The sequence below is a fragment of the Homo sapiens genome, chromosome 7, assembly GCF_000001405.40.
Source record: "Homo sapiens chromosome 7, GRCh38.p14 Primary Assembly".
NCBI lineage: Eukaryota > Metazoa > Chordata > Mammalia > Primates > Hominidae > Homo > Homo sapiens.
In genome coordinates this window covers 26,173,185-26,201,160 of record NC_000007.14, presented here as the reverse complement: position 1 = coordinate 26,201,160, position 27,976 = coordinate 26,173,185, and the positions used below count along the sequence as shown (strand labels likewise).

Genomic DNA, 27,976 nt, shown 5'->3' with positions numbered 1-27,976 from the left:
CTAAGATTTTTCTGGCGGGGGTTATCATTGGCGTAACTGCAGGGACCACCTCCCGGGTTGAGGGGGCTGGATCTCCAGGCTGCGGATTAAGCCCCTCCCGTCGGCGTTAATTTCAAACTGCGCGACCGTTTCTCACCTGCCTTGCGCCAAGGCAGGGGGCGGGACCCTATTCCAAGAGGTAGTAACTAGCAGGACTCTAGCCTTCCGCAATTCATTGAGCGCATTTACGGAAGTAACGTCGGGTACTGTCTCTGGCCGCAAGGGTGGGAGGAGTACGCATTTGGCGTAAGGTGGGGCGTAGAGCCTTCCCGCCATTGGCGGCGGATAGGGCGTTTACGCGACGGCCTGACGTAGCGGAAGACGCGTTAGTGGGGGGGAAGGTTCTAGAAAAGCGGCGGCAGCGGCTCTAGCGGCAGTAGCAGCAGCGCCGGGTCCCGTGCGGAGGTGCTCCTCGCAGAGTTGTTTCTCGAGCAGCGGCAGTTCTCACTACAGCGCCAGGACGAGTCCGGTTCGTGTTCGTCCGCGGAGATCTCTCTCATCTCGCTCGGCTGCGGGAAATCGGGCTGAAGCGACTGAGTCCGCGATGGAGGTAACGGGTTTGAAATCAATGAGTTATTGAAAAGGGCATGGCGAGGCCGTTGGCGCCTCAGTGGAAGTCGGCCAGCCGCCTCCGTGGGAGAGAGGCAGGAAATCGGACCAATTCAGTAGCAGTGGGGCTTAAGGTTTATGAACGGGGTCTTGAGCGGAGGCCTGAGCGTACAAACAGCTTCCCCACCCTCAGCCTCCCGGCGCCATTTCCCTTCACTGGGGGTGGGGGATGGGGAGCTTTCACATGGCGGACGCTGCCCCGCTGGGGTGAAAGTGGGGCGCGGAGGCGGGAATTCTTATTCCCTTTCTAAAGCACGCTGCTTCGGGGGCCACGGCGTCTCCTCGGCGAGCGTTTCGGCGGGCAGCAGGTCCTCGTGAGCGAGGCTGCGGAGCTTCCCCTCCCCCTCTCTCCCGGGAACCGGATTTGGCGGCCGCCATTTTCATGGCTCGCCTTCCTCTCAGCGTTTTCCTTATAACTCTTTTATTTTCTTAGTGTGCTTTCTCTATCAAGAAGTAGAAGTGGTTAACTATTTTTTTTTCTTCTCGGGCTGTTTTCATATCGTTTCGAGGTGGATTTGGAGTGTTTTGTGAGCTTGGATCTTTAGAGTCCTGCGCACCTCATTAAAGGCGCTCAGCCTTCCCCTCGATGAAATGGCGCCATTGCGTTCGGAAGCCACACCGAAGAGCGGGGAGGGGGGGTGCTCCGGGTTTGCGGGCCCGGTTTCAGAGAAGATATCACCACCCAGGGCGTCGGGCCGGGTTCAATGCGAGCCGTAGGACAAAGAAACCATTTTATGTTTTTCCTGTCTTTTTTTTCCTTTGAGTAACGGTTTTATCTGGGTCTGCAGTCAGTAAAACGACAGATGAACCGCGGCAAAATAAACATAAATTGGAAGCCATCGGCCACGAGGGGCAGGGACGAAGGTGGTTTTCTGGGCGGGGGAGGGATATTCGCGTCAGAATCCTTTACTGTTCTTAAGGATTCCGTTTAAGTTGTAGAGCTGACTCATTTTAAGTAATGTTGTTACTGAGAAGTTTAACCCTTACGGGACAGATCCATGGACCTTTATAGATGATTACGAGGAAAGTGAAATAACGATTTTGTCCTTAGTTATACTTCGATTAAAACATGGCTTCAGAGGCTCCTTCCTGTAATGCGTATGGATTGATGTGCAAAACTGTTTTGGGCCTGGGCCGCTCTGTATTTGAACTTTGTTACTTTTCTCATTTTGTTTGCAATCTTGGTTGAACATTACATTGATAAGCATAAGGTCTCAAGCGAAGGGGGTCTACCTGGTTATTTTCTTTGACCCTAAGCACGTTTATAAAATAACATTGTTTAAAATCGATAGTGGACATCGGGTAAGTTTGGATAAATTGTGAGGTAAGTAATGAGTTTTTGCTTTTTGTTAGTGATTTGTAAAACTTGTTATAAATGTACATTATCCGTAATTTCAGTTTAGAGATAACCTATGTGCTGACGACAATTAAGAATAAAAACTAGCTGAAAAAATGAAAATAACTATCGTGACAAGTAACCATTTCAAAAGACTGCTTTGTGTCTCATAGGAGCTAGTTTGATCATTTCAGTTAATTTTTTCTTTAATTTTTACGAGTCATGAAAACTACAGGAAAAAAATCTGAACTGGGTTTTACCACTACTTTTTAGGAGTTGGGAGCATGCGAATGGAGGGAGAGCTCCGTAGAACTGGGATGAGAGCAGCAATTAATGCTGCTTGCTAGGAACAAAAAATAATTGATTGAAAATTACGTGTGACTTTTTAGTTTGCATTATGCGTTTGTAGCAGTTGGTCCTGGATATCACTTTCTCTCGTTTGAGGTTTTTTAACCTAGTTAACTTTTAAGACAGGTTTCCTTAACATTCATAAGTGCCCAGAATACAGCTGTGTAGTACAGCATATAAAGATTTCAGCTCTGAGGTTTTTCCTATTGACTTGGAAAATTGTTTTGTGCCTGTCGCTTGCCACATGGCCAATCAAGTAAGCTTCAGCTTTCAGTAATTGTTATCTTAGAGATTATGCCACGTGAATGTATTTTATTGTACATATGGTTAAGCTGAGTAATTCATATTCTGTATTGTCATATATCAAATATAGACATGTCCACCAAAAATTAAACTTTTTAAGCTTCGAGTGCTGCTGGTCATAAAAATTAATTTGTCCTGGTTATAAGAGTAATTTTTAAGGTTATTTCTAATGCATATCTTTAAATATTTTCGTAACTGAGAGTCATATGGAGAAACTTAGTGTTTGTTGTAAAAAGTTGTGTTTTTTTGGCTGAGATACTTAGAATCACCACCAGAGGGGGCAGTTAAGGGAAAATAAATGATACTTTTCAGATATTGAATAGTGAAATAAAAACTTTGGGTCATAAGTAATGAACCAAGAGTTATTTTCTGATGTTTAAAAATAGAAATTTGCGTTTTTAGGTTGTAGGGTTGAAATTTTTGGTAAAGATTCTTTAATAATCCTTTGATAATCACGGTCTACATTTGTTTATTTTTCCTTAGAAAGTTTTTTTTTTAATTAATAATTTAAGATAATTTAATGTTGAGTAAATTTATATCAAGCATTAATGACTTTGAAACTTGTGTAGATCAGCTGAGGCAATTTTTTGGTGTAACACAACTAATATGCAGTTTAACATATGGTTTAAATTTGATGTAAGTTTTTTTTTTCCCCCCAGAAAACTTTAGAAACTGTTCCTTTGGAGAGGAAAAAGGTACTCTGCCAGCAGGTCACCTCATATTTAAGAATTTAATTTCCTGCATACAAAGAGGAAAATGTAAATAAAAATTGAAATGGTATTTTCCTTTGCAGAGAGAAAAGGAACAGTTCCGTAAGCTCTTTATTGGTGGCTTAAGCTTTGAAACCACAGAAGAAAGTTTGAGGAACTACTACGAACAATGGGGAAAGCTTACAGACTGTGTGGTATGTAAATTACTGAATTGTTACTGGATATTAGTCTTTTAGCTGTATGTTAAGTGAATCATGGAGGAAATAACTATCAGCATAGTAAAAAATTCTATTATGACTTCACTTATAAGCTATAATGAGATTAAATGCTAAAGTTTACCCTTTGGTTTGAAAGGTAATGAGGGATCCTGCAAGCAAAAGATCAAGAGGATTTGGTTTTGTAACTTTTTCATCCATGGCTGAGGTTGATGCTGCCATGGCTGCAAGACCTCATTCAATTGATGGGAGAGTAGTTGAGCCAAAACGTGCTGTAGCAAGAGAGGTAAGCAAACAATGACTGTCTTGTGCATTAACATGAAGAACGCTGCCCTGCTGAAAATCAGAAACTATTTCTGAATTTAGTTTTAACTCAAGATTTTTTCTCTTATTAAAGGTGTGTTGGGTTTCTGGACCATTTTCTTAAGCTAGCTTATTTTTCAAAAGCTAGGTCCCTAAAAGCTATTTTATATCTGGTAGTTTTAAGGTGGATACAAGCGAAGTATGGTACTACGGTTGGGTGCTTTGAATTATGCTTGTGTTTTTTTCTGTTTGGATGACTTTTACCCCACCACTATTTTAGGAATCTGGAAAACCAGGGGCTCATGTAACTGTGAAGAAGCTGTTTGTTGGCGGAATTAAAGAAGATACTGAGGAACATCACCTTAGAGATTACTTTGAGGAATATGGAAAAATTGATACCATTGAGATAATTACTGATAGGCAGTCTGGAAAGAAAAGAGGCTTTGGCTTTGTTACTTTTGATGACCATGATCCTGTGGATAAAATCGTATGTAAGTGTCTAACCACAAATGTACTGTTTTTTTCCAGTGTATTCAATTTTGTGTATGTTAACATCTGTAACTTTATTGAAAGGTAAACTTTTGAAGCTGCTTAATATTGTTGATTTAATTTAAAAGGAGTCTGAATTTTTCATTCCAGTGCAGAAATACCATACCATCAATGGTCATAATGCAGAAGTAAGAAAGGCTTTGTCTAGACAAGAAATGCAGGAAGTTCAGAGTTCTAGGAGTGGAAGAGGAGGTAATTTTAATTCTGTTTCTTCTTTATTTTTGTTCATATATAAGGGCTTGCTTCTAACTGGGGCATTTATTGTAGGCAACTTTGGCTTTGGGGATTCACGTGGTGGCGGTGGAAATTTCGGACCAGGACCAGGAAGTAACTTTAGAGGAGGATCTGGTGAGTTTCAAGTTCTACGTGTTTAAAGGATGAGTGTGCTTTTATTTTAAATATGATTAGGTTTTCATTAGTAGAATCAAGAAATCCAACCTAAGTCAATTTTCCTAAGACTTCAAATAGATTGTATCCTGGCAAGCTCTTGTGATTTGGCCAGACAAGAAGTTAATAGAGTTGTATTAATAACAGTTGTATTTATCTGGATTAATAATGTAACATGAAGTGTCATCCGAAAAGCTTTGACCCCCATCAAGTGTCATTCTTACGTATAAATAGGATGGAATCTCTAAGATTGAGACTTGTTAAGAGTCCAAAATTTAGGCGGTAGATTTAATTATATGCTTTCATGTTTTGTGGGTAAACTGGTAGCACTGGTGTGTCCTTTTCTGCGGTTCTTAATTATTGTGCTGAGGTAGTAAGAGAACTGAAAATGAATATTAGCAATAATGCTGAACAGTTTATAGTAAACGTAATCTTTTTTTGGCCCCTAACAGATGGATATGGCAGTGGACGTGGATTTGGGGATGGCTATAATGGGTATGGAGGAGGACCTGGAGGTCAGTTTTCCTCTACGTTTTGGTTTGTTTATGTGACTAATACTTAACTATATCGTATATTTACTTCATTTATATTTTGAGTTTTTAAACATTTTATATTAGTGTCTATAAATGGCTTGGGTGATAGTGGTCCAGTTATTTCTAAGTAGTTTTGCCATCTTAGCTGTTATAGCCTAAGGAATAGAGTGCCATTTTAAATGAAAATGTAAAGATAACCATCAGAGTATCTCATCTTTTCTCAAGCAAAATGATTGGATCTAGATATATCTTTGTACGTGCTTCTCTGGAAAAGTACAGAATACTGGATTTAACAGAGTAAAACCTAAGGGGGTGGTATATGTAGGAAAAAATATGAAATATGTCTAAACCCGTAACTAGATGGGAAGCATCCCAGGATAACTTTCAAAAAGCGTAACCTACGGAAATGTTCCAAAATGTTTAGTGTGCTCCTGGCTGCAGATAAGGTTGTGAACTACCATTAAACATGAAGTGTGATATATCATTGGCGTACAGAAAAGGCTGATACACACTGACAGATTTTGTAACAAGGGACATTTAAAACTGAGCTGGTAATAGACTTGATTTCTGGTGTTGCCACTCAATAGGCATGACTAAATAGTGTATCTCACTGTTCTACTTTTTATAATTAAAATTTTAGAGGAAGCTGAGTTCTTGTATTTAACTACAAGTTAGAGACTCAGCCCACAAGCTTTTTTTTTTTTTTTAATATGGTTTCTTTTTTTTTTTTTTTTTTGAGACGGAGCCTTGCTCTGTCACCCAGGCTGGAGTGTAGTGGCGCGTCTCTGCTCACTGCAATCTCTGCCTTCCCGGTCCAAGTGATTCTCCTGCCTCAGCCTCCTGAGTAGCTGGGATTACCGGCGTGCACCACCACGCCCAGCTAATTTTAGTATTTTTAGTAGAGACGGGGTTTCCCCATGTTGGTCAGGCTGGTCTTGAACTCCTGACCTCGTGAACTGCCCACCTTGGCCTCCCAAAAACGCTGGGGTTACAGGCGTGAGCAACCATGCCCAGCCTTTTTTTTTTTTTTATTTTTGTTTTGCAGTATGTGAAAGTGTAAATTTTTGTTTATGTCCGCACTTCTATTTACAGTAAAGAACATACTGTGTGGAGTGTTGGGTCTGTTTTTTTTCTTTGAAATGGGGTCTGGCTTTGTTGCTCAGACTGGAGTGCAGTGGTGTGATCTTGGCTTACTGCAATCTTAGTCTCAAGCCATCCTCCCACCTCAGCCTCCTGGGTAGCTGGAACTACGGGGTGTGCCACCATGACCGGCTAATTTTGTGTTTTTTTGTAGAGGTGTGGGGGTTTTGCTGTGTTGCCCTGGCTGGTCTTGAATTCCTGGGCTCAAGCAATCCACCCGCCTCAACTTCCCGTACTGCTGGGATTACAGGTGTGAGCTGCTGCGCCCAGCCAAGAACATTGTTTCGTTTTTTGAGAGGGAGTCTCTCTCTGTCGCCCAGGCTGGAGTGCAGTGGTGTGATCTCAGCTCACTGCAACCTCTGCCTCCCGGGTTCACGCCATTCTCCTGCCTCAGCCTCCAGAGTAGCTAGTACTACAGGTTGCTGCCACCATGTCCGGCTAATGTTTTGTATTTTTAGTAGAGATGGGGTTTCACCGTGTTAGCCAGGGTGGTCTCAATCTCTTGACCTCGTGATCCGTCCGCCTCGGCCTTCCCAAAGTGCTGGGATTACAGGCATGAGCCACTGTGCCCAACCGAGAACATTGTTTTAAGATATGTAATTCGTAGAGAGACATAATAGAAACTTTATCTTTTGGGCCAGTAGGAGGAAGTGCTCTTTTACTTTCCCTCTAGCCCACACTACTAGTCTAGCCTCACAGTCCTTACCCACAATATACATGAAGTATTTCAAGATACTTAAGATTTTTAGTTTTGAGGGAAAGCTGTGGAATTACAGGTATTTAACTGTGTGCACATGGTGTTATCCATTTGGCTGAGTAACCCCAGCCACCAAATGTTTACCAAGGATAGTTATTCAGTCCTTGAAGCTATTTTAGAGGAATTTCATTAAATATTTCACATGGAAACTTGGAAAGCTGGAAATGGATGTGAGGAGACAGTTCAAAATGGTATTGAAAATATTAAGTGATTACTTAAAGGCTTATTTTATAATAGGTGGCAATTTTGGAGGTAGCCCCGGTTATGGAGGAGGAAGAGGAGGATATGGTGGTGGAGGACCTGGATATGGCAACCAGGGTGGGGGCTACGGAGGTGGTTATGACAACTATGGAGGAGGTAATAAATTCACCTGCAACCTTTATGTGGGAATTTGGAATTAATGTCTTTGTAACACTTGATCTTTTGTTTCCATGTTTGTCACTAGATGCCCATAAAATTTGTGGATAAGTGTTTGCTTTTATTTGTTTTTATGGGAGCTTTGTCCTAAGTCCTTGGTTTAATGTTTGTATTGTTCTGAGTATTCCAATTTTTTAATAGGAAATTATGGAAGTGGAAATTACAATGATTTTGGAAATTATAACCAGCAACCTTCTAACTACGGTCCAATGAAGAGTGGAAACTTTGGTGGTAGCAGGAACATGGGGGGACCATATGGTGGAGGTAATTTATAAAAATTGAGGTTATTCAGATTTTTGTGATTAAAGGATTAGCCTTTTGTGACTTAAAGGGAAGATAACATACTAAGTAGTTTGTACTGTGGGCAGTGCTCCATGTACGGTCTTAGTGAAAATAAAGAAATTTTGCATAAATCTCCACAGAAGTACTCAGCAAGCAGTTATGACATCAAATTGGGATTAGGGATGTTGGAGGTGGGGGTGTTCAGTAGTTTAATTTCTGGTGGGGACTCATAAACAGCTAAATACAGTTGCAACCCACATTGCAAGTGGTATACATTGGAATGAGGGTCTTTGAAGTTAAATCCTTAAACCATGATTCAAACCATTGCTTAGCTTATTTTTGAGGTTTTTAGCTAGGAGTAAACTAGCTTTGTCTTGGGCTTGATGTACTTTTAAAAAAATCCCTTACTCAGTCCAAATGAGGATGAGAGGGTGAAAGGACCCTTTATTTAAAAGAATAGGGTCAGCCACGAAATAAAAATGTCTATGAACCCGAGTAATTTATCTCCTGAGTAATTCTGCTAACTGGCTGCAAAGGATTAGGATCTGCTTGTTTAAAAGACTGGATGGATATAAAATAGAATCAACTGTAGTGTTAGGCTGATCATGGGAAATCAAAGTAAGTTTGTTTTCTCTTGCTGTTCCAACAATTATAGGAAACTATGGTCCAGGAGGCAGTGGAGGAAGTGGGGGTTATGGTGGGAGGAGCCGATACTGAGCTTCTTCCTATTTGCCATGGGTAAGTAGCTTTTGAGTTTTACAATTATTATTATCTTGGGAGACATAGCTGCAGGAGTAAAAGCTTTTTAGGATCATGTTATCTTTCCTTAAAATCTGGTTAGATGGATAATTTCATAACCTATTTTTTTTTTACTCTTTACTTCTGTTGAAACAGGCTTCACTGTATAAATAGGAGAGGATGAGAGCCCAGAGGTAACAGAACAGCTTCAGGTTATCGAAATAACAATGTTAAGGAAACTCTTATCTCAGTCATGCATAAATATGCAGTGATATGGCAGAAGACACCAGAGCAGATGCAGAGAGCCATTTTGTGAATGGATTGGATTATTTAATAACATTACCTTACTGTGGAGGAAGGATTGTAAAAAAAAATGCCTTTGAGACAGTTTCTTAGCTTTTTAATTGTTGTTTCTTTCTAGTGGTCTTTGTAAGAGTGTAGAAGCATTCCTTCTTTGATAATGTTAAATTTGTAAGTTTCAGGTGACATGTGAAACCTTTTTTAAGATTTTTCTCAAAGTTTTGAAAAGCTATTAGCCAGGATCATGGTGTAATAAGACATAACGTTTTTCCTTTAAAAAAATTTAAGTGCGTGTGTAGAGTTAAGAAGCTGTTGTACATTTATGATTTAATAAAATAATTCTAAAGGAAATTGTGTAATTATAGACTTTTTATTTTAAATAAGTTAAGGAGTGGGTAGTATAATTAAGGTCCGTTGCAAAGCTGTTGTTATATTTGTATAAGATAAATGCTGGTCAGATGTAAGTGTGTTGTCTGCAATTCATCAGGATTAAATTATGTAGATAACTTAAGGGATATCTCTGCAAGGAGAAACACCTTTTTAGATCTTTTAGATGCTGCTTCTTCAATGCAAGGAAAGGAAATAACCCCAGCGAGGTACTCTTCAGGGACACAGGTCTAGTACAAGAGAACTCTTGACGGCTACTAAGTTCAGCCAGTCTTAAAAAACTGTGCTGTTTCTACAAAACTTTAACTACAGTAGTTTATAAGGATGCCAACGAAAGCTGAGGGTGTAGAGCAAAATAGTTCTAAGCTTCAGTTAAACTTCTTTAGGTAAGATCTTATTTACTTTTCCTTTCTTAATTTTCCTCCCTAAAAGATAAACTAATACTCTTAAATGGTCTTTCAGTATAGTGGTTCTTACGTAGTTTAACATAGCTATAAATTGAGTTTAACAATTTATAAACTCAAGAGAATAATTTTTATAAACCCTGTTTTCCAATCTGTCATTTACTTAAATTATTTTGGTTGTTTTTCCCTTTTTTTCCTTCTTTTCCCACCCCCTCCCCCTCCATGTGAAGATTTGGGTGCTTAACATATCATTTTTTTCCCTGCCGGAATTTTAGCATTGATATGAACCATGGACAAGTATATTCTGCTGCCACAAAGACTGTAAAGTGCTTCATTTCAACAGCTGAGGCAAGCCAAGTGATCATTAATAAAGCTTTTCTTGGTTCCTTCAGTGGTGTTGGTAGTAAAATGGTAGGTAAAAGTTAGGCTGCAAGTTCAATAAATCATGAGATTTCCCATCGTTACACCCTTGTGTATTCACATTTCTTGGATCAAACATTTTGAGTGAACTAGGGGTTTTTATTAAAGACATTTGTTGTATTTATGGTTGTAACTGTACATGCTTATCAGGATGAGACTGAAAGAAGGTAGGGCAAAAATGGTTGAATCTATTTTCAGATAGTAGTTCATACTTGAGTGAAGTGTCTTGTCTGCATTATGAAGCCTGGTATGTATCCAGTACTAAATAGGTGGGTTAAATGTGGTAATTCTAGTTCAGTGTCTTACCCTGAAGAGAAAGTTGTAGGTTGGCTGTTGAAATTCATTCCTTAGATATGATCAGTTTGATTGCCCGGCTTTATTGCCTTTACAGGAATGTGATACTCAGGGCTTACTCTATACACCAATGAGTCTTCTTTGATCCTAAGACCACCACTGAAGTTGTTTAGGTTCTTTTGGACAAACATGATAAACTTCTTCAGATACTTTTTTTTTCCTTTGGCAGGAAGGTGTCTTGCTGCAGGTAACTAATGAAGAAGTGGTCAACCACAGAGTCTTCAAGAAATAAGAAATTCTGTACCATCTGAAAGTAGTTCTTGTTGGTGCCTTCATTTAAAAAGCACTCTTTAAAATAAAAGGGAAATGTTTTCTGATAAAACAAACATTTAGTTGAGGTTCTTGATATAAAACAATTACAAAATGAGTGTTGTTTGTAAAACAGTAACATCAAATTGGCTAGAGAGATAAATGTATCATGTTTTAAATTAGGTTTTGTGAGTAGACAGATTACAATTCTATTTTAAATATAAAGTTTATAAAATAAATACTTTTTGTATCCAAATACTTGGTGTAATGTTTACACATAAAATGTGTGAATCTTGTTCTATAAATATTTGGTTGTCTAAAAGATCACCATCCCCTAAATTTTTAAAAGCAGTTTCACAAAGCTATGCATATTTTAATATTAACAGGTAAATGAGAAGAGCATTGTGGACATTATTGGCTGTCCCCAATAAAATGCTGTTCATTATGCACTGTATATTCAGCGTTTGAGTACTCCTAAAGTTTCTGGCTTTACTTTTACGTTTAGCAATACTGGTGGCATTTTGAAAATCATGGATTTTAAAGGTTAACCGGCTGGAGTGGTCCAGATTAAGTGGCTTTGCAGAAGCACTGAGGTTTACAATATGTGCTAGATTGTCAAATGTCAATTAGTTTTATTGTGGTTTACACTGAGTAAATGAATATCAGTGTTGCTTTTTAAATGTGTTTATTTGGACATTTATCTGAATTAAGAAAACCAAAAAGACCAGGTTAATTTGTTTCTATGATAATTTGTTTTGGTTTTGATAATGTGAGGTATCTAACAGGTAAGTCAAATTTAACAGCAGGTAACACATAGAAAGCAGCTTTCTGTTTGAAATAGCTGAGTTCGTCAATTAAAGACGTACAAATATCCCAACTTTAAGAAAATTTTGAAGGTTTAAAAATGTGTGGATGTACAAAGACGTTGAACTTTGAAATACATCAGGTTGATATGCATAACCTCAAAATACCAACTCCTATCCAGCCAAGGTCAAGGGAATATCACACAAATAGGGGAGAATTAGGTAATTGCACAATAGACTGAAATGAACTGATTGAAGGAGGGTTTACTGAAGCATGGGGGTAATGTTGGATATTCAACATAGGCTTATTTCCTGTGTGTATATGTTGTGTTGAGCTGTTTCTCTTGTAGAAATTGAAGTTTAAGGTAGTTCTTGTGTAGCTTTGAGACAGTGCCCTAAATGAAGAAAGGCTGCTTTTTGGCCAAGGCTTTATATTGTTGCTGTGTAACAACTTACCTCAATACTTAAGAGCAGTTCAGAGAAACAAACCAGCATCTATGGGTCAGCAATTGGGAGCAACTTAACTGATTCTGGGTAAAGCTCAAGGTTCCAATCACAGAAAACTAGGATTGGAGAATTTTTTTAATATCCAGAGTGGCATACTAACAGCTTTAAAGTTAATCCTGGTTGTCATCTTCCCTCGGTGAGTGATTTGAGCAAGAAAAGCTGTAAAATGAACACGCTCTACGAAGTAGTCGTGCTATCTTGCATCCTTTATGGTCACAGAATGTGGTGGGAGGGTTCTTTTCCCTGGTACAATTACCAAGCAGGCAGGGAGCATTGGGAACTCTCAGATGCCAGCTGTCACACTCAAGGGGGTGCCCTTACTCAGTTTATTCACTAGTGTGAAACCAGATTTCTGTATGTGTAAGCTTTTCCATGTAGCCCAATTTGGTAGATGCCAAATTGCTTGACCTAATAAATACTAGTTAGGCATTGGGAGCTAACAATGTAAGGCAACAAGTCTCAGTTTGTCACTGATGGTTGAAAAGTGGAAAACATCTGTCAGGACACCTGGACTGCATGTTACATAAATTCGCTCTCTTTAAGGTTTGGAACTAATATACTGAGATGTTGACAGGCCCTACATAATTTTTGACATTTCCACTATTTAGTAATGCACTAACACTGGCTTGTTTTGGGGTAGTGGAGGGGAATTGGTAACAAATCAGTTGAGTTGCATGGACTTAACAGAGAACAAATCGTTCAGAGACTGAGATGGGGAATGATTTAGCTACTTGAGTGCGTTTAAAAGACGTTAATATTACCACACAAAACCCTGTATACTGGTTCTGAAGCTCTGCTGAACCGAAGCCTACCTTGAGACCAGGGGACCACTAGAAATCTAGGTCTTTTTTTGCTTGGAGTTGCCGTACAATTGGCCTAAAATCTGATCACACTTGTGAAGATGCTCAAGTGATAGTTTTAATTGGAAAAGGAGATGTCCAACCCACTTGGGTTGTCTTTGTTCTTGTCTTCCTCATTCTGATTAAGACGTTAGATGATGCAATCAAGACTGCTCAACTAGGTAGGTAATGTGGAGGGTCCTAGGCAATGGTCAGCTTTCGGGCATTGGCTTTGTAATCTAGTTGGTTTGCACTGGAAGCCGAATGTGGAATTCCCTTCTGCCTCTAAAACTGGACTGTCAGAAAAGCAGTTGCAGTTTATATACCTTGAATCCAGCATGTTAAGATGGAGGCAGGGTTATGTCAGGAAGCCAGCCCATAGCCAATTAGAGCTTGTGACGCTGGCTGCTTAATGCGCCGATTAAAAGTCCCTTGATGGGAGAGGGGCCCATCAGTTTCAGGAACCTCCACAATACCAAAATGTGGATGCTCTAGCCCCCTTGTATGAAACGTGTATTTGCACGTGGTCTAAGCACATCTCATACACTTGAGTTGTCTAGGTTACCCAATATTTAATCCAAGGTAGAAGCTAGGTAAATGGTATGCTGCATTATGTATGGGGAATAAAGTTCAGTACAGACACTACCATCTTTAAATATATTCAGTTTGCAGTTACTAGATCTGTGTGTGCTATATTTAAGGGTTTTTAGAGTTTAAACTTCAGGCCAGGCATGGCGGTCCATAATCTGAGCAGCTCGGGAGGCTGAGGCAGTCCAGGAGTTTGAGGCTGGATCTTTTATTGGGGCCACTGCACTTCAGCATGGGTAACAAGAGTCACCATGATTACCGATTCTGCTCTCCACTGTCTTTTATTTTAGAGGTTTGAAAAGAATGCTATCTGATAAGCAGGCACTCTTTTGAGTGTACTTAGTAGGATTTCCTACTGAAATGTTTTATGTGTGTTCTTAAATTATAATTATCAAAAGCTTAAGACATTTGAAATACTCCCTTGTAAAAAGCAACAGACTAAAATGATCATTTGAACACCATGAGTCACTGAAGGGGCAATTTTATCTAGAAGCATACTAGAAGCATTTCTGGCAAAATAACAGGTCTTGGGAAACTTTATTATAAAAATCCAACGGTATATATAAACTGCATTTCTCTAGCCCAAGATACTTATGTGATACTCTACACTGTAGCTCCTATGGCAGAAATAATATCTGAGAAACTTCATTTTGAAAATTTGGACATATTAAGCATTATAGTACCCGTCAAAATCTTGATGTTCCCCAAACTTGAGTCATCTAGGTGAGGTCATTGCTGTCTTCAAAAAATTCAGCAATCTCCTGTTTACTGTTCTAGTGAACTTAAGTGAGGTTTTCATTTCAAATGCTATTATTTCTAGAATTTACCTTACCCTGGTTTATTTTCAAATTCACCTGTTTTTTTTCCCTTAATCGCTTTTGCCCATTTTAAACAGATGGTTTCACTGTTGCTGACTCTTTCCCTACTGTTTATATGGCTTACAGTGTTCTGGTGAGATCTCAGTATTCTAAGATGGTGAGGCCATCCCTTCAGGCTGGCTTTACTGCCAGAGATTTTATGGATTTAATATACACACAAGGAGTTACGTTTTTGCAAGTAGCCCATTCTGTCTCTGGTTACATGAGGAAGGCCTGTGGCTCAAACTACCAGTGACCGTAGGTCTTCAGTGCATTCTATATCACATAGTATTCTGTGTGTTAAGTATTGGGGTAGGGGGGTGGATTTGCCTTACTATGGATTTGGCATACTATGTTGACCTCAATTTGGCTTGAGTCTGAGCAGTTTGCTATGCTGCCTTATTTGTTATTCACCTATATTCCTGAATGTGGATATTTTGGAAGGAAAGTAAGGTAAATTTGGTTCAGATTCTGTATAAAAGGGAAAAGTTAATTTTTAATACAAATACAAAATTTATTTCCATAGAAAGCAAAATTTATAAGTTAAATATAAAGATTAAAATAGTGTTTGAAAAGCTCACTATAGTGCTAACAAACTAAATGAAAATAAGGCTATTTTGCATTTAAAACTGAAATACCTCTTAAAATAATTTGATCCCCAGTGTTTGCTCTTTTTGAAGTAACCAACTTACTCTTAAAAAGGATGGCTGCCAAGATGGAAAGTCTTACTGGGTTTTCATGTTAACCTATTCTTTGGACATAACTATGAATTTTGTATACAATGCACTTCATGAAAAGTTGTGGCTCCCCCAGATTGCCCACAAGTGTGATCTTGAAGTCCTAAACATTTGTCCATGTAAGCTTCAAAACAGCGTTAACTGAGTTATTCAAGTAGCAGTACTTAAAGATACAATTCTTGAAGCAGTTTCAATGGTTTCTGATCCAAATAATCAGTTTCTGAACATTACTACTTCACATAATAGAGTCCATCTTCAGTTTCTTCTCACTTTCTCTTTCCCTTTTGGGTTTCCTTTTTGTGGCCTGAGGCCACCAGTTCTTTGGGTACTATCAAGATACTTCCATCATGGGTACACTGGAGAGCATAGTGGTTGGGATTGACTGGCCTACCTTGGTCATCTCTTAATCTACTAAAAATATCATGATAAAGGTCATGCAGTTTCTGTTTCATTATGTTAATAGCTTTGTTACATTGTGCTTGCTCTCTCTTAAGAGTTTCCTTCTTTGCTTGCAAGTTACATACATCATCTTCTAAATTCAAAATTATGTCCAATTTGCGTTTACGACAGTTCTGCGCAGCAACTTTATTTTTCCCTCTTCGTCTGATGTCACGGATAAGTGAGACTTGTAGGTCTGTCAGATAATATCTACTTAACATGCTATTGAAAGAATCAACAGGCATGCCGACAATTTCATCTACAGAAAAAGGGATATGCAAAGCTTTAGCACGCTGTTCATCACGGCTCAAGTTTCTATCTGTGTCTTCAAGGTATCTACTCCTTATCTTCTGTGACTTCCCAGGCCACGGAAAAGGTTCAGAAGTAGATTCTGGTGCAGTTGGCTGTAAGTGGTAAGTGTGGTTATGAAATACGTGTTGAAATGTAAGATCTCCATGGAAATCAGAATCACTTTGATCCAAGTGACAAAGCTTACTGGGTTCTGGGTAGTAGCCACCTACAGCACCTTCTAAGTCATGATGGGAACTAGATTCATGGTCAGTGCAATAACCTATAGCACCTTCATCACACACAGAGTGAGAGGAATTAGACTTGATGACAGAGGTATTATTGTGACTTGAATCTAAAGAAAGGCCAGAATCAGAATCTGGTTCATCAAAAAGCTGAGAAACATCGATTGGATCAAAGTTGTCTTCTGTGGCCAATGACATTAAGTTTATCTCATCAAATATATTTATGTCAAGGTCATACAGTAGGTCTTGGCTTGTTAGATTCCTCATATGATTGTCAACCGGTGAAAGAAATCCTGTCAAATTAGTTCCAGGAAGGGTTTGCTCAGGATTGGTGGTATGAGAATTTAACTGCAGAAATGGTTCTTGTGACTGTGAAGTCCTTGCTGTTGGATCTCTTCTAAATGTATTGTTGGGACAAAGCAAGATGGCCTCATGAAGATTCACATCCTGACTTATAGCCTGGCTGAAGTTTACATGATAATGTGCTGAAGAATTCATGCCATCACTGATACTGCCTGGAAGAGGAATATCTCCCAATGAGATGCCCTGAAAAACGAAGGAGAAACACTTCAAACATGAATAGCCCTATTTCTGAAGCAGTTCTATTACCTAACAACTTTCTTTCCCCTCTTTTGTCAATTCCTCTACATTTAATAGAGATAGATGCTGTTGGCAGTAACTTCCTAGTTAAATACAGGCAATACAATACGAGATGTGAGTCCAAATCAGAATACCTGGAATTCTGAGTAACCTAGAAATTAAGATGGATTAGTATAAAAGCTGACTGGATTTTCTTAAAAAGTCTAATGTTACAATCTTGTAATTTGCTACTTTATAATAAGATGCAACTCATCCTAGCGGTTGGTAATCACATTGTGGAGGGTCAGGGATAATAAACTACAGTGAAGTAGTCTGGAGGAGAGAGGCTGTTTAAATGCCTCTAAGCGCTAAAACTACAAGGCTATTGTGAATATTGCTGCAATAAACATGGGGGTGCAGGTGTCCCTTTGATACACTGATTTCCTTTCCTTTGGATAAATACCTGATAATTCTTTTAGTTTTTTGAGAAATCTCCACGCTGTTTTCCATGACTAGTCTAAATTTGATTATACCTTTGGGATTATTTGGAAAGAGGAATGCTATACATATTTGGTTAATTCTAAGCTGAAGTGCTTCTGTAAAAATAAGCATTACTTTAAACTGCTGTGTCATCCAAGTAAAGGAGTTGTATTTGTTCACCAAAAGGTCAGTGCAGATATGTTCCTGCGAGGATAAAAGCCAAAGTTCCAATTACCTCCAGTGAATTTTCAGGCTGTGATGAAAGCAACTGGAATAAGTCTTCCAGAGAGAAAGAAGTATCTGTCCCATTCAGATGTCTCTGTAGAGAAACACAAAAAGTGCATCTTTCACATAAAAGACTGAACTGGTTGGGGCTTTAGGCTTTATCTTTAAAGGATCACCAGGTATTATTTCCACACTGGATTTTTATGCTATTATGTTCCTTGGTTGGAAGTTCTACTTTTTATTATATTTTGAGACGGATCTCACTCTGGCCCAGAATGGAGTGCAGTGGTGCAATCTCGGCTCACTACACCCTCTGCCTCCCAGGTTCAAAGGATTCTCCTGCCTTAGCCTCCGGAGTAGCTGGGATTACAGCTGTGCACCACCACGTCTGGCTAATTTTTGTATTTTTAGTAGAGACAGGGTTTCACCATGTTGGCCAAGTTGGTCTCGAACTTTTGACCGCAAGTGATCCACCCACCTAGGCCTCCCAAAGTGCTGGGATTACAGACGTGAGCCACTGCAGCTGACCTATTTCTCTGATTATGGTACTCAGTATTTCAACATGCATACTTAAAAGTCCAAAGCTAATCAGTATTTCTATTCCTACCATAAACAACTTCCATGTAATTTTTGGCTAATTGTTAGTTTCAGCTTATTTTGCCCCTCCATAGCCAGCCCTCCCAGTTGGTTACACAATTATATAATTTTGGCCAGGTGTGGTGGCTCACGCTTGTAATCCCAGCACTTTGGGAGGCCAAAGCAGGCAGATCGCCTGAGCCCAGGAGTTGGAGACCAGCTTGGGCAACACAACAAGACCGTTTCTACAAATTAAATTAGCTGGGTGTGGTGGTGTGCACCTGTGGTCCCAGCTACTCCGGGATGGTGAGGCAGGAGGACTGCCTGAGTCCAGGAGGTTGAGGCTGCAGTGAGTCGTGACAGCGCTGCCACACTCCAGCCTAACAGAATGAGATCTCGTCTCAAAAAATATTTTTACAGTCAATACTTATTTACATTTACTCCAATTTGTTTTTTTAAAACCAATTTATCGATGCTTCATCTCACTCCTGGCCTTTATGCTTTAGCCTCTTTCTAGTTGAAAGAACTCTTCAGAGTTCTTTTTAGAGAGGACCTGAGCAGTAAACCCAGTTTTTGTTACATGGAATTATTTTGAGACAGTCTTGTCCTGTCGCCCAGGCTGGAGAGCACTGGTGAGATCTCAGCTCACTGCAATCTCCGCCTCCTGGGTTCAAGTGATTGATTCTTGTGTGTCAGCCTCCCGAATAGCTGGGACTACAGGCATGTGTCACTGCGCCTGGCCAATTTTTATATTTTTAGTAGAGCTGGCGTTTTGCCATGTTGGCCAGGCTTGTCTTGAACTACTGACCACAGGTGATCCACCTGCCTTGGCCTCACAAAGAGTTGGGATTACAGGCATGAGACACCATGCCCGGCCTACATGGAATTATTTTGCCTTCATGCTTAAATGATGAGTTAACTGGTAAAAATATAAGGTTTAATGTTTTCCCTCAGTACTCTGTCTTATGGCATTTATTACTACTGGTAAGTTTGCTCTCAGTGTTATTTATAATGAAACTTTTCTATCTCAGGTAATTTAAAAAATGTTTCTTCTTAGTTCTTGACGTTCTGTTTCAATCTGGTATGTCTAGGACTTAATTTGTTTTCGTTAGGAGCTCTGTGTAGTCCTTTAATCTGAGGACTTTTCTGGAAATATTTTGCCATAAACTCATTTTAAATATTGCTTATCTTTCATATTTTATAGTTTCTTCTGGGACTCCTATTAGAAGTAACTTAGATTTTTCTCTTCTATCATTGTCTCAATTTTGCTTTCATATTTTGCATCTTCTCTGGTATATTCTAGATAATTTTCTTAGATCTTTCTTCCAACTTACCCTTTTCCTTAGCTGTTCACATCACTTCCACTGAATTTTCAATGAAAATGACTTTTTTCATATCTAGAATTTCATTTGGGCTCTTTTCTAGATCTTTTTCTTTTTTCATGATAGTCTGTTCTTGCCTTATAGATTCTGTTCCTATGAACAATTTAAACACTGATTTAGAGTCTTTTTCAGAGGACTAGGAATCCTGACTTTTGCATATGCTGACTCATGGCTATTTATGTCATTTTTAATTCTTAAAAGGTGAGCATTTTGGGGAGCAGTTTTGCATTTTTCTTTTCAAGAACCAGTGTTTATATCATTTTCCAGACTGTACTTTCTCTTGGCCGAGGATTCTTGATGGTGATGGTAGTGTGCATTCAGATCTTATATCTAGCTTTGGGGCCCCCACTGGGGTTCTGATTTCTAAAGGGTAGCTAGAATTGTACCAGTCCCCATTTCCTAGATATTCTTCCAGAGTTGTCATCTGGAAGAATGGAAATGCCAGTGATTCACTGGTCTAACTCATTTCTGTTTTATTTCAACAAGCTTTAAAAGCACCTACTAAGTAATAGCCCAATAAAAGAACAGAAATATCTTGTCAGAGCTACTATAAGAAATGTGGCTGGGTGCAGTGGCTCACACCTGTAATCCCAGCACTTTGGGAGGCCAAAGTGGGCAGATTGCTTGAGCCCAGGAATTTGAGACCAGCCTGAGCAACATGGTGAAACCCCACTTCTACTGAAAATACAAAAAATTAGCTGGGCATGGTGGTGTGCACCTATAGCCCCAGTTACTTGGGAGGCTGAAGTGGGAGATCACCTGAGCCCAGGAGGTTTAGGCTGCAGTGAGCCATGACAGCGCCACTGCACTTTAGCCTGGGTGACAGAGTGAGATCCTGTCTCCCCCGCCGCCTTCCTCAAAAAAAAAAAAAGTGTTAAGTACACGAAGATGTGACGTAAATGCTCAGGCTAGGAACATGGAGATAACACAATGAGGAACCAAGCCTGATAAGAATTAGGCACAAATGCCTGGCTTTGAATGATTAATATGTTTCTGAAAAGTTTTGTCCAAATTGATGTTTGTCCTATGTCAAATTACATTTTAAATTCTCTCCAAGGAAGCTCCCTACTTCATTTGTCTCCTCATTAATATTTAGTAAGTGCCTAGTCTGTGCCTAGCAGTGAATTAGTTTGTTACAGTTCTTGCTTTTCTGGGAAGCCCAGTGAGGGAGTAAAGACGAAGACATACCTGGGAGAAAGGCAATATACAATTCAGTGTTAAATAAGTGAAAGACTAGTGAAAACATCTTTTCCCTCAAACAGAGCTGTGAATACTCAGGGAAGTGGGCAGAAATGTTGTCCTCTTCAACATATATATGGTTCTGTCAGTATTTTAATATAAAAGTCCATGGGTAATGATTTGACAATACAGTATGTATGCTGTGGGGAGAGTGGTAAAACCATACAATGCATCCATTAATTAGGAAATAGATAAGTCAGAGGAGCTGGGGAGAATACCAGCTGGGAAAAAAGAACAGGCAGTTGCCAAATGCCAGGTTGCAATTGAGGGTTACAAAAGGGTTAAAGCTCCACTGGTCAGAGTGAAAATGGGAGGGTTCCTTGGGGTGTGCTCTCTACCCCCTCCCCTTCATCTGAAGAATGTCAAAAAGGGCCTCAAGGAGACCACTTAGAACTCAGTGTGTGTTTTCCGCAGTTTGGGGACACAGAAGCTTAGTGTCCTGTTTTTGCCTGGGAAATATAAACGATGAGAAACCATGCAAGAGCCATAGTTAGGGAACTGGAAAAGGGTCTAAGGGCATGTTTCCAGGTGCTAGGCGGCCAGCAAATGGTTGAGAGGGCCACCTGAAGAGGTGAGATGCATGTATACCACGGAACATTCAGGGAAGAGTCCTAAAGGACCAGCTGCAGTGGAGATGCATTTGCCCCTGTCAAGAGGAAGACTCCCAGCTGTGGGGCCAGGGGTCTCCAAAGAACCTATACACGAAAAGGTGCCCACGTGACAAAGAGTTGTATAATATTTAAATGTATCGCGTGGTCAAGAGAAACAATTTCCTATGTTCTTAGCACCCCACACCCTCAACCCCAGAGAAATCAGCAGGGCAGGCCACACAAAACTGAGGAAAGATGCTGAATTTTAGCCCAGTGTGTTTTGTTTTGGATTTTTCTTTTTTGAGACAGGGTCCTGCTCTGTCACCCCGTCTGAAGTGCAGTGGCATGATGACGGATCACTGCAGCCTCAACTTCCCAGGCTCAAGTGATCCTCCCACCTCAGCCTGCCAAACAGCTGGGACCACAGGCACACACCACTACGCCCAGCTAACTTTTGGTTCAGCGTTCTTGGAAATTACATTGGGTTATACTTTTTTTTTTTTTTTTTGAGACAGGGTCTCACTCTGTTGCCCAGGTTGGAGTGCACTGGTGTGATCACAGCTCACTGCAGCCTCGACCTCCCAGGCTCAGGTGATCCTCCCACCTCAGCCTCCTGGATAGCTAGGAGTACAGGAACACATCACCACACCAACTAATTTTTGTAATTTTTGTGGAGATGGGGTTTTGCCATGTTGCCCAGGCTGATCTCCAACTCCTGGGCTCAAGCGATCTGCATGCTTTGGCTTCCCAAAGTGCTGGGATTATAGGTGTGAGCAACTGTACATGGACACACTGGGTTATTCTTATCAATTGCTGCACTGGGATGGCCAGAGCGATTTTCATTAGTATCTAGAATTTATGGGACCTGCCCTAGATTTCACCAAGGGGCTCTAGGTGGAAGCTGGAGGGGCAAGGGAGTGGTAGGCAGGCAAAGAGAACAAACCTGTTTTCTGATTTCATGCAAAATAAGTAATGTTCCATGTAATATTACATGGCCAGGGCTACCATGATGACAGCTGTCTGAGAAGGGTCAGGGCATGGTACTCTCCATCCTCCAAGGTATTCAAAACACAGCCCTAAACTCCACATTCTGGGAAGGGGACATGCTAAAGCAGGTGATGCCTAAGAAAACCGTCAGGGCAAGACCCCTGAGGGTATGCCTTCCAGGTGGAAGTGCCACGTGGTTATTAAATATCTCGAGTGCCTGTTTGCCATGCTTGTGGGCAGGACCTCAGCAGGGCTGAAGAGAAATCAGAGTACAGCCCAAATGAAAGGAGGAGGAAGCACAGATCGCAGAAAGCATCCATCCCTTCAGCCTGGCTCCGGGAGTTCATCTTTGTACACCTCTTCTCACAGCCAAAGAGTAAGGTTAGGCAATGAGGAGTTAAGGAGGTGGTCCCACTGGACCATGGATGCCCAACGGTTCAGCCAGGCCTGCCAGGAGACTGAACAAAGATTTCAGCCCAAGCCTTAGCTGACATCATGGGTGATTGGCTGTAGGGTTGGTCCTCGGCTTGCTCTCCTGGACTAGGCCAGCCTGGCTACCTGTGCATGTGGCTGGTTGAGGACTCCTAGGTTCCCCATTTCTTCATCACTTGCCTTGGCAAACATAACTAGCAAAACCTGCTAGCAAGGTCCTGGAAGGGGGTGTGTGCACATACACACAAAATCTTGAGTTTAACCAGAGAAAACAATTGTATGGGCTAATTCATTTATAAATCAAATTACTACTCCCATAACTTAAAGACATAGGTATTTTCATATATCATATTTGTTAATAGTAGAGCATACTGTTTTACATGCTCATTCTTGACACAAACTGTCAATGCCACAAAATCTACATTAAAACCAAAACGGCAAGGCTTGAATATTCTGACAGGCTTACCTCATTTCTAGATTCAGTGGTCTTTTCTGCCTCCCAGTCAGGTTTCTCTGCTATTTTGTTTTCATCATCATCATTCTGCTGAAGTGAGTTCTCCTTCTGGGCTGACACCCTTTCTTCATTTTCCTCATGCTGGGAACTATGATCCACAGCTTCGTGCTTTTCTCTTAGTACCCCATTCTCCTATAAAAGTACGAAATTTCATCAAATAAGCAAACAGTCTTTAAAACTGCATTGTGCTTATTGTTCAGGGACCATGAAAACCCACAAGTCAAAAGCTAAGACCGGCATTTCAATATTTCAGTATCAAAGAAACATTTAATTCAGAAACAAAGGTCAGTTTTACATCCTGTCCTGAGACAGGCTGTTCTAATCTGTGCAATTTAAATTAACATGCACTTATAAAGCCCCTGAATTTAAAATACTCATGAGTTAGATTAGATTTGGAAATTAATGTTGCCAGCAGGCAGTTTTAGTTTTCTGTTGAAAATTGATTCCTTCCTTCCTCCCTTCCTCCCTCCTTCCCTCCTTTCGACGGTCTCCCTCCATTGCTGAGCCTGGACTCTACTGCCGTGATCTTGGCTCGCTGCAACCTCCCTGCCTCGGGCTCCCGTGATTGTCCTGCCTCGGCCCGCCCAGTGCCTGGGATTGCAGGGACGCGCCGCCATGCCTGACTGGTTTTTGTATTTTTGGTGGAGATGGGGTTTCGCCGTGTTGGCCAGGCTGGTCTCCAGCTCCTGACCTCGAGTGATCTGCCCGCCTCGGCCTCCCGAGGTGCTGGGATTGCAGAGGGAGTCTCGCTCACTCAATGCTCAATGTTGCCCAGGCTGGAGTGCAGTGGCATGATCTCGGCTCGCTACAACCTCCACCTCCCAGCTGCCTGCCTTGGCCTCCCAAAGTGCTAAAATTACAGCTTCTGCCCAGCCGCCACCCTGTCTAGGAAGTGAGGAGCGTCTCTGCCTGGCCACCCATCGTCTGGGATGTAAGGAGCGCCTCTGCCCGGCCACCCCGTCTGGGATGTGAGGAGCGCCTCTGCCCGGCTGCCACCCCGTCTAGGAAGTGAGGAGCATCTCTGCCTGGCCGCCCATCGTCTGGGATGTGAGGAGCGCCTCTGCCCGGCCACCCCGTCTGGGATGTGAGGAGCGCCTCTGCCCGGCTGCCACCCCGTCTAGGAAGTGAGGAGCATCTCTGCCTGGCCGCCCATCGTCTGGGATGTGAGGAGCGCCTCTGCCCGGCCGCCCCGTCTGGGAGGTGAGGAGTGCCTCTGCCCGGCCACCCATCGTCTGGGAAGTGAGGAGCGCCTCTGCCTGGCCACCCCGTCTGGGAAGTGAGGAGCGCCTCTGCCTGGCCACCCCGTCTGGGAAGTGAGGAGCGCCTCTGCCCGGCTGCCCATCGTCTGGGATGTGAGGAGCGCCTCTGCCTGGCCACCCCGTCTGGGAAGTGAGGAGCGCCTCTGCCTGGCCACCCCGTCTGGGATGTGAGGAGCGCCTCTGCCCGGCTGCCCATCGTCTGGGATGTGAGGAGCGCCTCTGCCTGGCCACCCCGTCTGGGAAGTGAGGAGCGCCTCTGCCTGGCCACCCCGTCTGGGATGTGAGGAGCGCCTCTGCCCGGCTGCCCATCGTCTGGGATGTGAGGAGCGCCTCTGCCCGGCCGCCCCGTCTGGGAAGTGAGGAGCGCCTCTGCCTGGCTGCTGTGCAATCTTCCAAGTGTGAAGTGACAGCCTTTCTGCAGGTGTACCCAACAGCTCCGAAGAGACAGTGACCATCGAGAATGGGCCATGATGACGATGGCGGTTTTGTCAAAAAGAAAAGGGGGAAATGTGGGGAAAAGAACGAGAGATCAGATTGTTACTGTGTCTGTGTAGAAAGAAGTAGACACAGGAGACTCCATTTTGTTCTGTACTAAGAAAAATTCTTCTGCCTTGGGATGCTGTTAATCTATAACCTTACTCCCAACCCCCTGCTCTCTGAAACATGTGCTGTGTCAACTCAGGGTTAAATGGATTAAGGGCGGTGCAAGATGTGCTTTGTTAAACAGATGCTTGAAGGCAGCATGCTCATTAAGAGTCATCACCACTCCCTAATCTCAAGTACCCAGGGACACAAACACTGCGGAAGGCCACAGGGACCTCTGCCTAGGAAAACCAGAGACCTTTGTTCACGTGTTTATCTGCTGACCTTCTCTCCACTATTATCCTATGACCCTGCCACATCCCCCTCTCCAAGAAACACCCAAGAATGATCAATAAATACTAAAAAAAAAAAAAAAAAAAGAAAAGAAAATTGATCAAACAGCTAATTGGAAGCAAACACTGATCAAATATGGAAACTATTTTTTTTTTTTTTTTGAGACAGAGTCTTGCTCTGTCGCCCAGGCTGGAGTGCAGTGGCACGATCTTGGCTCACTACAAGCTCGGCCTCCCGGGTTCACGCCATTCTCCTGCCTCAGCCTCCCCAGTAACTGGGACTACAGGTGCCCGGCACCACACCCGGCTAATTTTTGTTGTATTTTTAGTAGACACAGGGTTTCACCATGTTAGCCAGGATGGTCTCGATCTCCTGACCTCGTGATCCGCCCGCCTCGGCCTCCCAAAGTGCTGGGATTACAGGCGTGAGCCACCGCACCCGGCGGAAACTATTATTATAAACTATTAATTCTGGTTCTCTCTGAAGGTTGGCAACAGGGTGGGAAAGAGTTTACTTCACTTTATACGTGTCTATAACTGTGAATATTTTACAACAAACACATATTGCTTTATTTATTTATTTTTTTGAGTCTCACTCTGTCGCCCAGGGTGGAGCGCAGTGGCGAGATCTCGGCTCACGGCAGGCTCCGCCTCCCAGGTTCACACCATTCTCCTGCCTCAGCCTCCCAAGTAGCTGGGACTACAGGTGCCTGCCACCACGCCCAGCTATTTTTTTTTTTTTTTTTTTGGTATTTTTTAGTAGAGACGGGGTTTCACCATGTTAGCCAGGATGGTCTCAATCTCCTGACCTCATGATCCGTCCGCCTCAGCCTCCCAAAGTGCTGGGATTACAGGCATGAGCCACCACGCCCCGCCATATTCCTTTTATAATCAGGAAAATGATAAATGTAAAACATCTCCACAGATCTATACTTATTTACCCAGATAAGTCCTTCTACCTTAATTTACTTTATAAATAAGGAGACCTAAATAATTAAAAGGCTAGAGAATTCTTCTAAACATTCAAATATGGTTACCATTTAGAGTGTACTGCATATTCAGATAGTTTCAACTATCATGTTAAAAGCTCTCTGGATGTATTTTTTCCCTATAACATTAAAGCTTGTCAAACTTTTTCACTCTTTCTGTTTCTTCCAGGAACAGGACACACTGGCACATCCTTTTCCCACCAAACCACAGAAAAACATTTTTAAGTGAAGGTTGAAGAAATGGCAATTTACAGATGCCAGAAGAAAGGATAAAAATCAAGGCAAGATAAGAAAAAAGGAGGCTGATGTTCTGCTGGTCCACTTGGTTTACTGGCTTCTCTGTCTGATTGTGCCTAACTCTGACACTGTGCCTTCCCTCTAGACACTGTAGATGATGTTTAGTCCTAGCTCAATCAGTCTCTCCCTTTGCACATTTCCGTTACAACCCTGCTCATGTGCTCAAGATATTGCTCCTGCTACTCTCCCCTCTCTTCTGCATCAACAGTTCTTTCTCATCTACTGGACAATTCGCATCAGCCTACTATCATACACAAATACCCCCACCTTTAAAAACCCCTCCCTTGGTCCCACACTAGTCTTCAGATTCCATCCCATTTTTTGCTCCCCTTGACAGCAAAAACCTCCAAAGAGTATCTGTACTCAGTGTATTTTCTCTTCACCCATCAGCAAAATTTGACTTAGTTACCATCTCCTCCTGGAAACAGCTTCTTCACCTGGCATCCAAGTACCTCTCTATTCTCCTACCTCATCAAGAACTTCTGCTTTGCTGATTCTTCATCCCCTTGATATCCAAACATAGCAATGTCCCAAGGCTCAGTTCTCAGGTCCACCAAGCACTCTCCCACTTCACAGCCCTTGTATTTGCAGCCCTTTCTGCCTGTAAGCTCTCTCAACCCTCTTATCCTCCTGACCCCAGGTCTCTTCAAATATTTACCATCTCAGTTTTCTTTCTTAATCTCTCTATATAAAAAACTACATCAAAATCTTTTTCCCTTATCTTGCTTTATTTTTTCTCCATAGCATTTAGCACCAGCTGATATATTACCATGTTTATTTGTTTGCTGTTTGTCCTACTAGAATGCTAGTTTTTTGAAGGCAAGGGCTCTGTCTGCTTGGTTCCTGCTGTTGGCCACTTCGTAACCCAGATTCTGGCACATAACAGACCCTTGCTACATATTTGTTGAATAGCTGAACTCTTAGACACAATATCCTAAGACTTTGATAGAGATCTTACTTCTGATAGATTGTTCTTTCCTGCAACAATACTGATTCCTATATAAATCTGGGGAAGGAAGAAAAGGTGACTGATCACTTTTTACCTCTCATCTTTTGCCAAGGTAAGGTTTTTTGTGGTTGTTAAATCTGAATATAATTAAATTAAAAACTTTGGATACCCGAGGCAGCTAACTTTGTTTAAAAACTTGCTAGTGGTAGAGAGAGAAACTTCTAATCTCGAAATCAAATGATCTATTTTAGAACCATGAAGCAAAGTCCCCTAAATCTGTAATATGTGCATTAATACAACACACATGGACACACACAAACATGCAAACACAAGAATGTCACCTATATTACACAAATAATAACAGGGAAACAAGTGGTTGATACAGATCAAGCCCATAGAGAAATTGATCAAGCAAACTTTAGTCTGGGAAGGCTTTTTTTGTGGGGGGAAACTTTTTGAGTGTAATGAATTGGTAACAAAGGTATGTAAGATGTCTTGTCTGAAAACTCAGGAAGAGAAGG

General features: G+C 41.5%; 2 protein-coding genes across 33 annotated transcripts in view, besides 9 other annotated features; one reads left to right on the top strand and one right to left on the bottom strand.

Annotated features, from left to right (window-relative positions):
• Window positions 27–999: an enhancer, noted in NCBI's record as "NANOG-H3K27ac-H3K4me1 hESC enhancer chr7:26239782-26240754 (GRCh37/hg19 assembly coordinates)". NCBI's record gives its function as "activates a minimal SCP1, AML or CMV promoter by ChIP-STARR-seq in primed H9 embryonic stem cells {active_cell/tissue: H9 hESC(primed)}" and the evidence as "EXISTENCE:reporter gene assay evidence [ECO:0000049][PMID:30033119]".
• On the top strand, window positions 415–11,234 carry HNRNPA2B1 (heterogeneous nuclear ribonucleoprotein A2/B1). 32 transcript variants are annotated; one of them, XR_007060011.1, is made up of 14 exons: window positions 415–589; window positions 3,295–3,330; window positions 3,429–3,539; window positions 3,700–3,846; window positions 4,144–4,354; window positions 4,503–4,604; window positions 4,680–4,760; window positions 5,252–5,314; window positions 7,467–7,586; window positions 7,788–7,910; window positions 8,584–8,666; window positions 9,511–9,739; window positions 10,033–10,105; window positions 10,701–11,036. XR_007060011.1 is itself a non-coding variant. In NM_001438568.1 (12 exons), the coding sequence occupies exons 1-11, from the start codon at window positions 584–586 to the stop codon at window positions 8,643–8,645; spliced, it is 1,062 nt and encodes a 353-aa protein (NP_001425497.1). In that variant the 5' UTR covers window positions 415–583; the 3' UTR covers window positions 8,646–8,666; window positions 10,701–11,036. The 32 variants fall into 32 exon arrangements, 14 of the variants coding, with proteins under 14 accessions (NP_001425497.1, NP_001425499.1, NP_001425498.1 ...); XR_428077.2 differs by having other exon boundaries at window positions 10,033–10,168; XR_001744674.3 differs by lacking the exon at window positions 3,295–3,330.
• Window positions 472–861: an enhancer, noted in NCBI's record as "active region_25787". NCBI's record gives its function as "activates an Ori minimal core promoter by ATAC-STARR-seq in GM12878 lymphoblastoid cells {active_cell/tissue: GM12878}" and the evidence as "EXISTENCE:reporter gene assay evidence [ECO:0000049][PMID:35858748]".
• Window positions 972–1,091: an enhancer, noted in NCBI's record as "active region_25786". NCBI's record gives its function as "activates an Ori minimal core promoter by ATAC-STARR-seq in GM12878 lymphoblastoid cells {active_cell/tissue: GM12878}" and the evidence as "EXISTENCE:reporter gene assay evidence [ECO:0000049][PMID:35858748]".
• Window positions 972–1,973: a biological region, named in NCBI's record as "NANOG-H3K27ac-H3K4me1 hESC enhancer GRCh37_chr7:26238808-26239781".
• Window positions 1,000–1,973: an enhancer, noted in NCBI's record as "NANOG-H3K27ac-H3K4me1 hESC enhancer chr7:26238808-26239781 (GRCh37/hg19 assembly coordinates)". NCBI's record gives its function as "activates a minimal SCP1, AML or CMV promoter by ChIP-STARR-seq in primed H9 embryonic stem cells {active_cell/tissue: H9 hESC(primed)}" and the evidence as "EXISTENCE:reporter gene assay evidence [ECO:0000049][PMID:30033119]".
• Window positions 12,366–12,890: an enhancer, noted in NCBI's record as "H3K27ac hESC enhancer chr7:26227891-26228415 (GRCh37/hg19 assembly coordinates)". NCBI's record gives its function as "activates a minimal SCP1, AML or CMV promoter by ChIP-STARR-seq in naive H9 embryonic stem cells {active_cell/tissue: H9 hESC(naive)}" and the evidence as "EXISTENCE:reporter gene assay evidence [ECO:0000049][PMID:30033119]".
• NFE2L3 (NFE2 like bZIP transcription factor 3) overlaps window positions 14,024–27,976 on the bottom strand; it is a 34,940-nt gene continuing 20,987 nt past the window's right edge. Inside the window, exons 2-4 of the mRNA NM_004289.7 lie at window positions 23,039–23,218; window positions 17,377–17,460; window positions 14,024–16,628 (exon numbers count right to left, since the gene is read on the bottom strand). Of these exons, the coding sequence (NP_004280.5) occupies window positions 15,378–16,628; window positions 17,377–17,460; window positions 23,039–23,218 (1,515 nt within the window). The 3' untranslated portion in view covers window positions 14,024–15,377. The remainder of the gene's footprint in view (window positions 16,629–17,376; window positions 17,461–23,038; window positions 23,219–27,976) is intronic.
• Window positions 15,291–15,520: an enhancer, noted in NCBI's record as "active region_25785". NCBI's record gives its function as "activates an Ori minimal core promoter by ATAC-STARR-seq in GM12878 lymphoblastoid cells {active_cell/tissue: GM12878}" and the evidence as "EXISTENCE:reporter gene assay evidence [ECO:0000049][PMID:35858748]".
• Window positions 15,541–15,590: an enhancer, noted in NCBI's record as "active region_25784". NCBI's record gives its function as "activates an Ori minimal core promoter by ATAC-STARR-seq in GM12878 lymphoblastoid cells {active_cell/tissue: GM12878}" and the evidence as "EXISTENCE:reporter gene assay evidence [ECO:0000049][PMID:35858748]".
• Window positions 20,058–20,352: an enhancer, noted in NCBI's record as "tiled region #4449; K562 Activating DNase matched - State 5:Enh". NCBI's record gives its function as "activates a minimal TATA promoter and a strong SV40 promoter by Sharpr-MPRA in K562 cells {active_cell/tissue: K562}" and the evidence as "EXISTENCE:reporter gene assay evidence [ECO:0000049][PMID:27701403]".

What these genes read in the sequence shown, in the direction of transcription:
- HNRNPA2B1 (NM_001438568.1), top strand. An exon ending in AACGTGCTGTAGCAAGAGAG is followed by an intron (nt 3,847 to 4,143) that starts GTAAGCAAACAA and finishes CCACTATTTTAG; the next exon opens with GAATCTGGAAAACCAGGGGC. An exon ending in TAACTTTAGAGGAGGATCTG is followed by an intron (nt 4,761 to 5,251) that starts GTGAGTTTCAAG and finishes GGCCCCTAACAG; the next exon opens with ATGGATATGGCAGTGGACGT.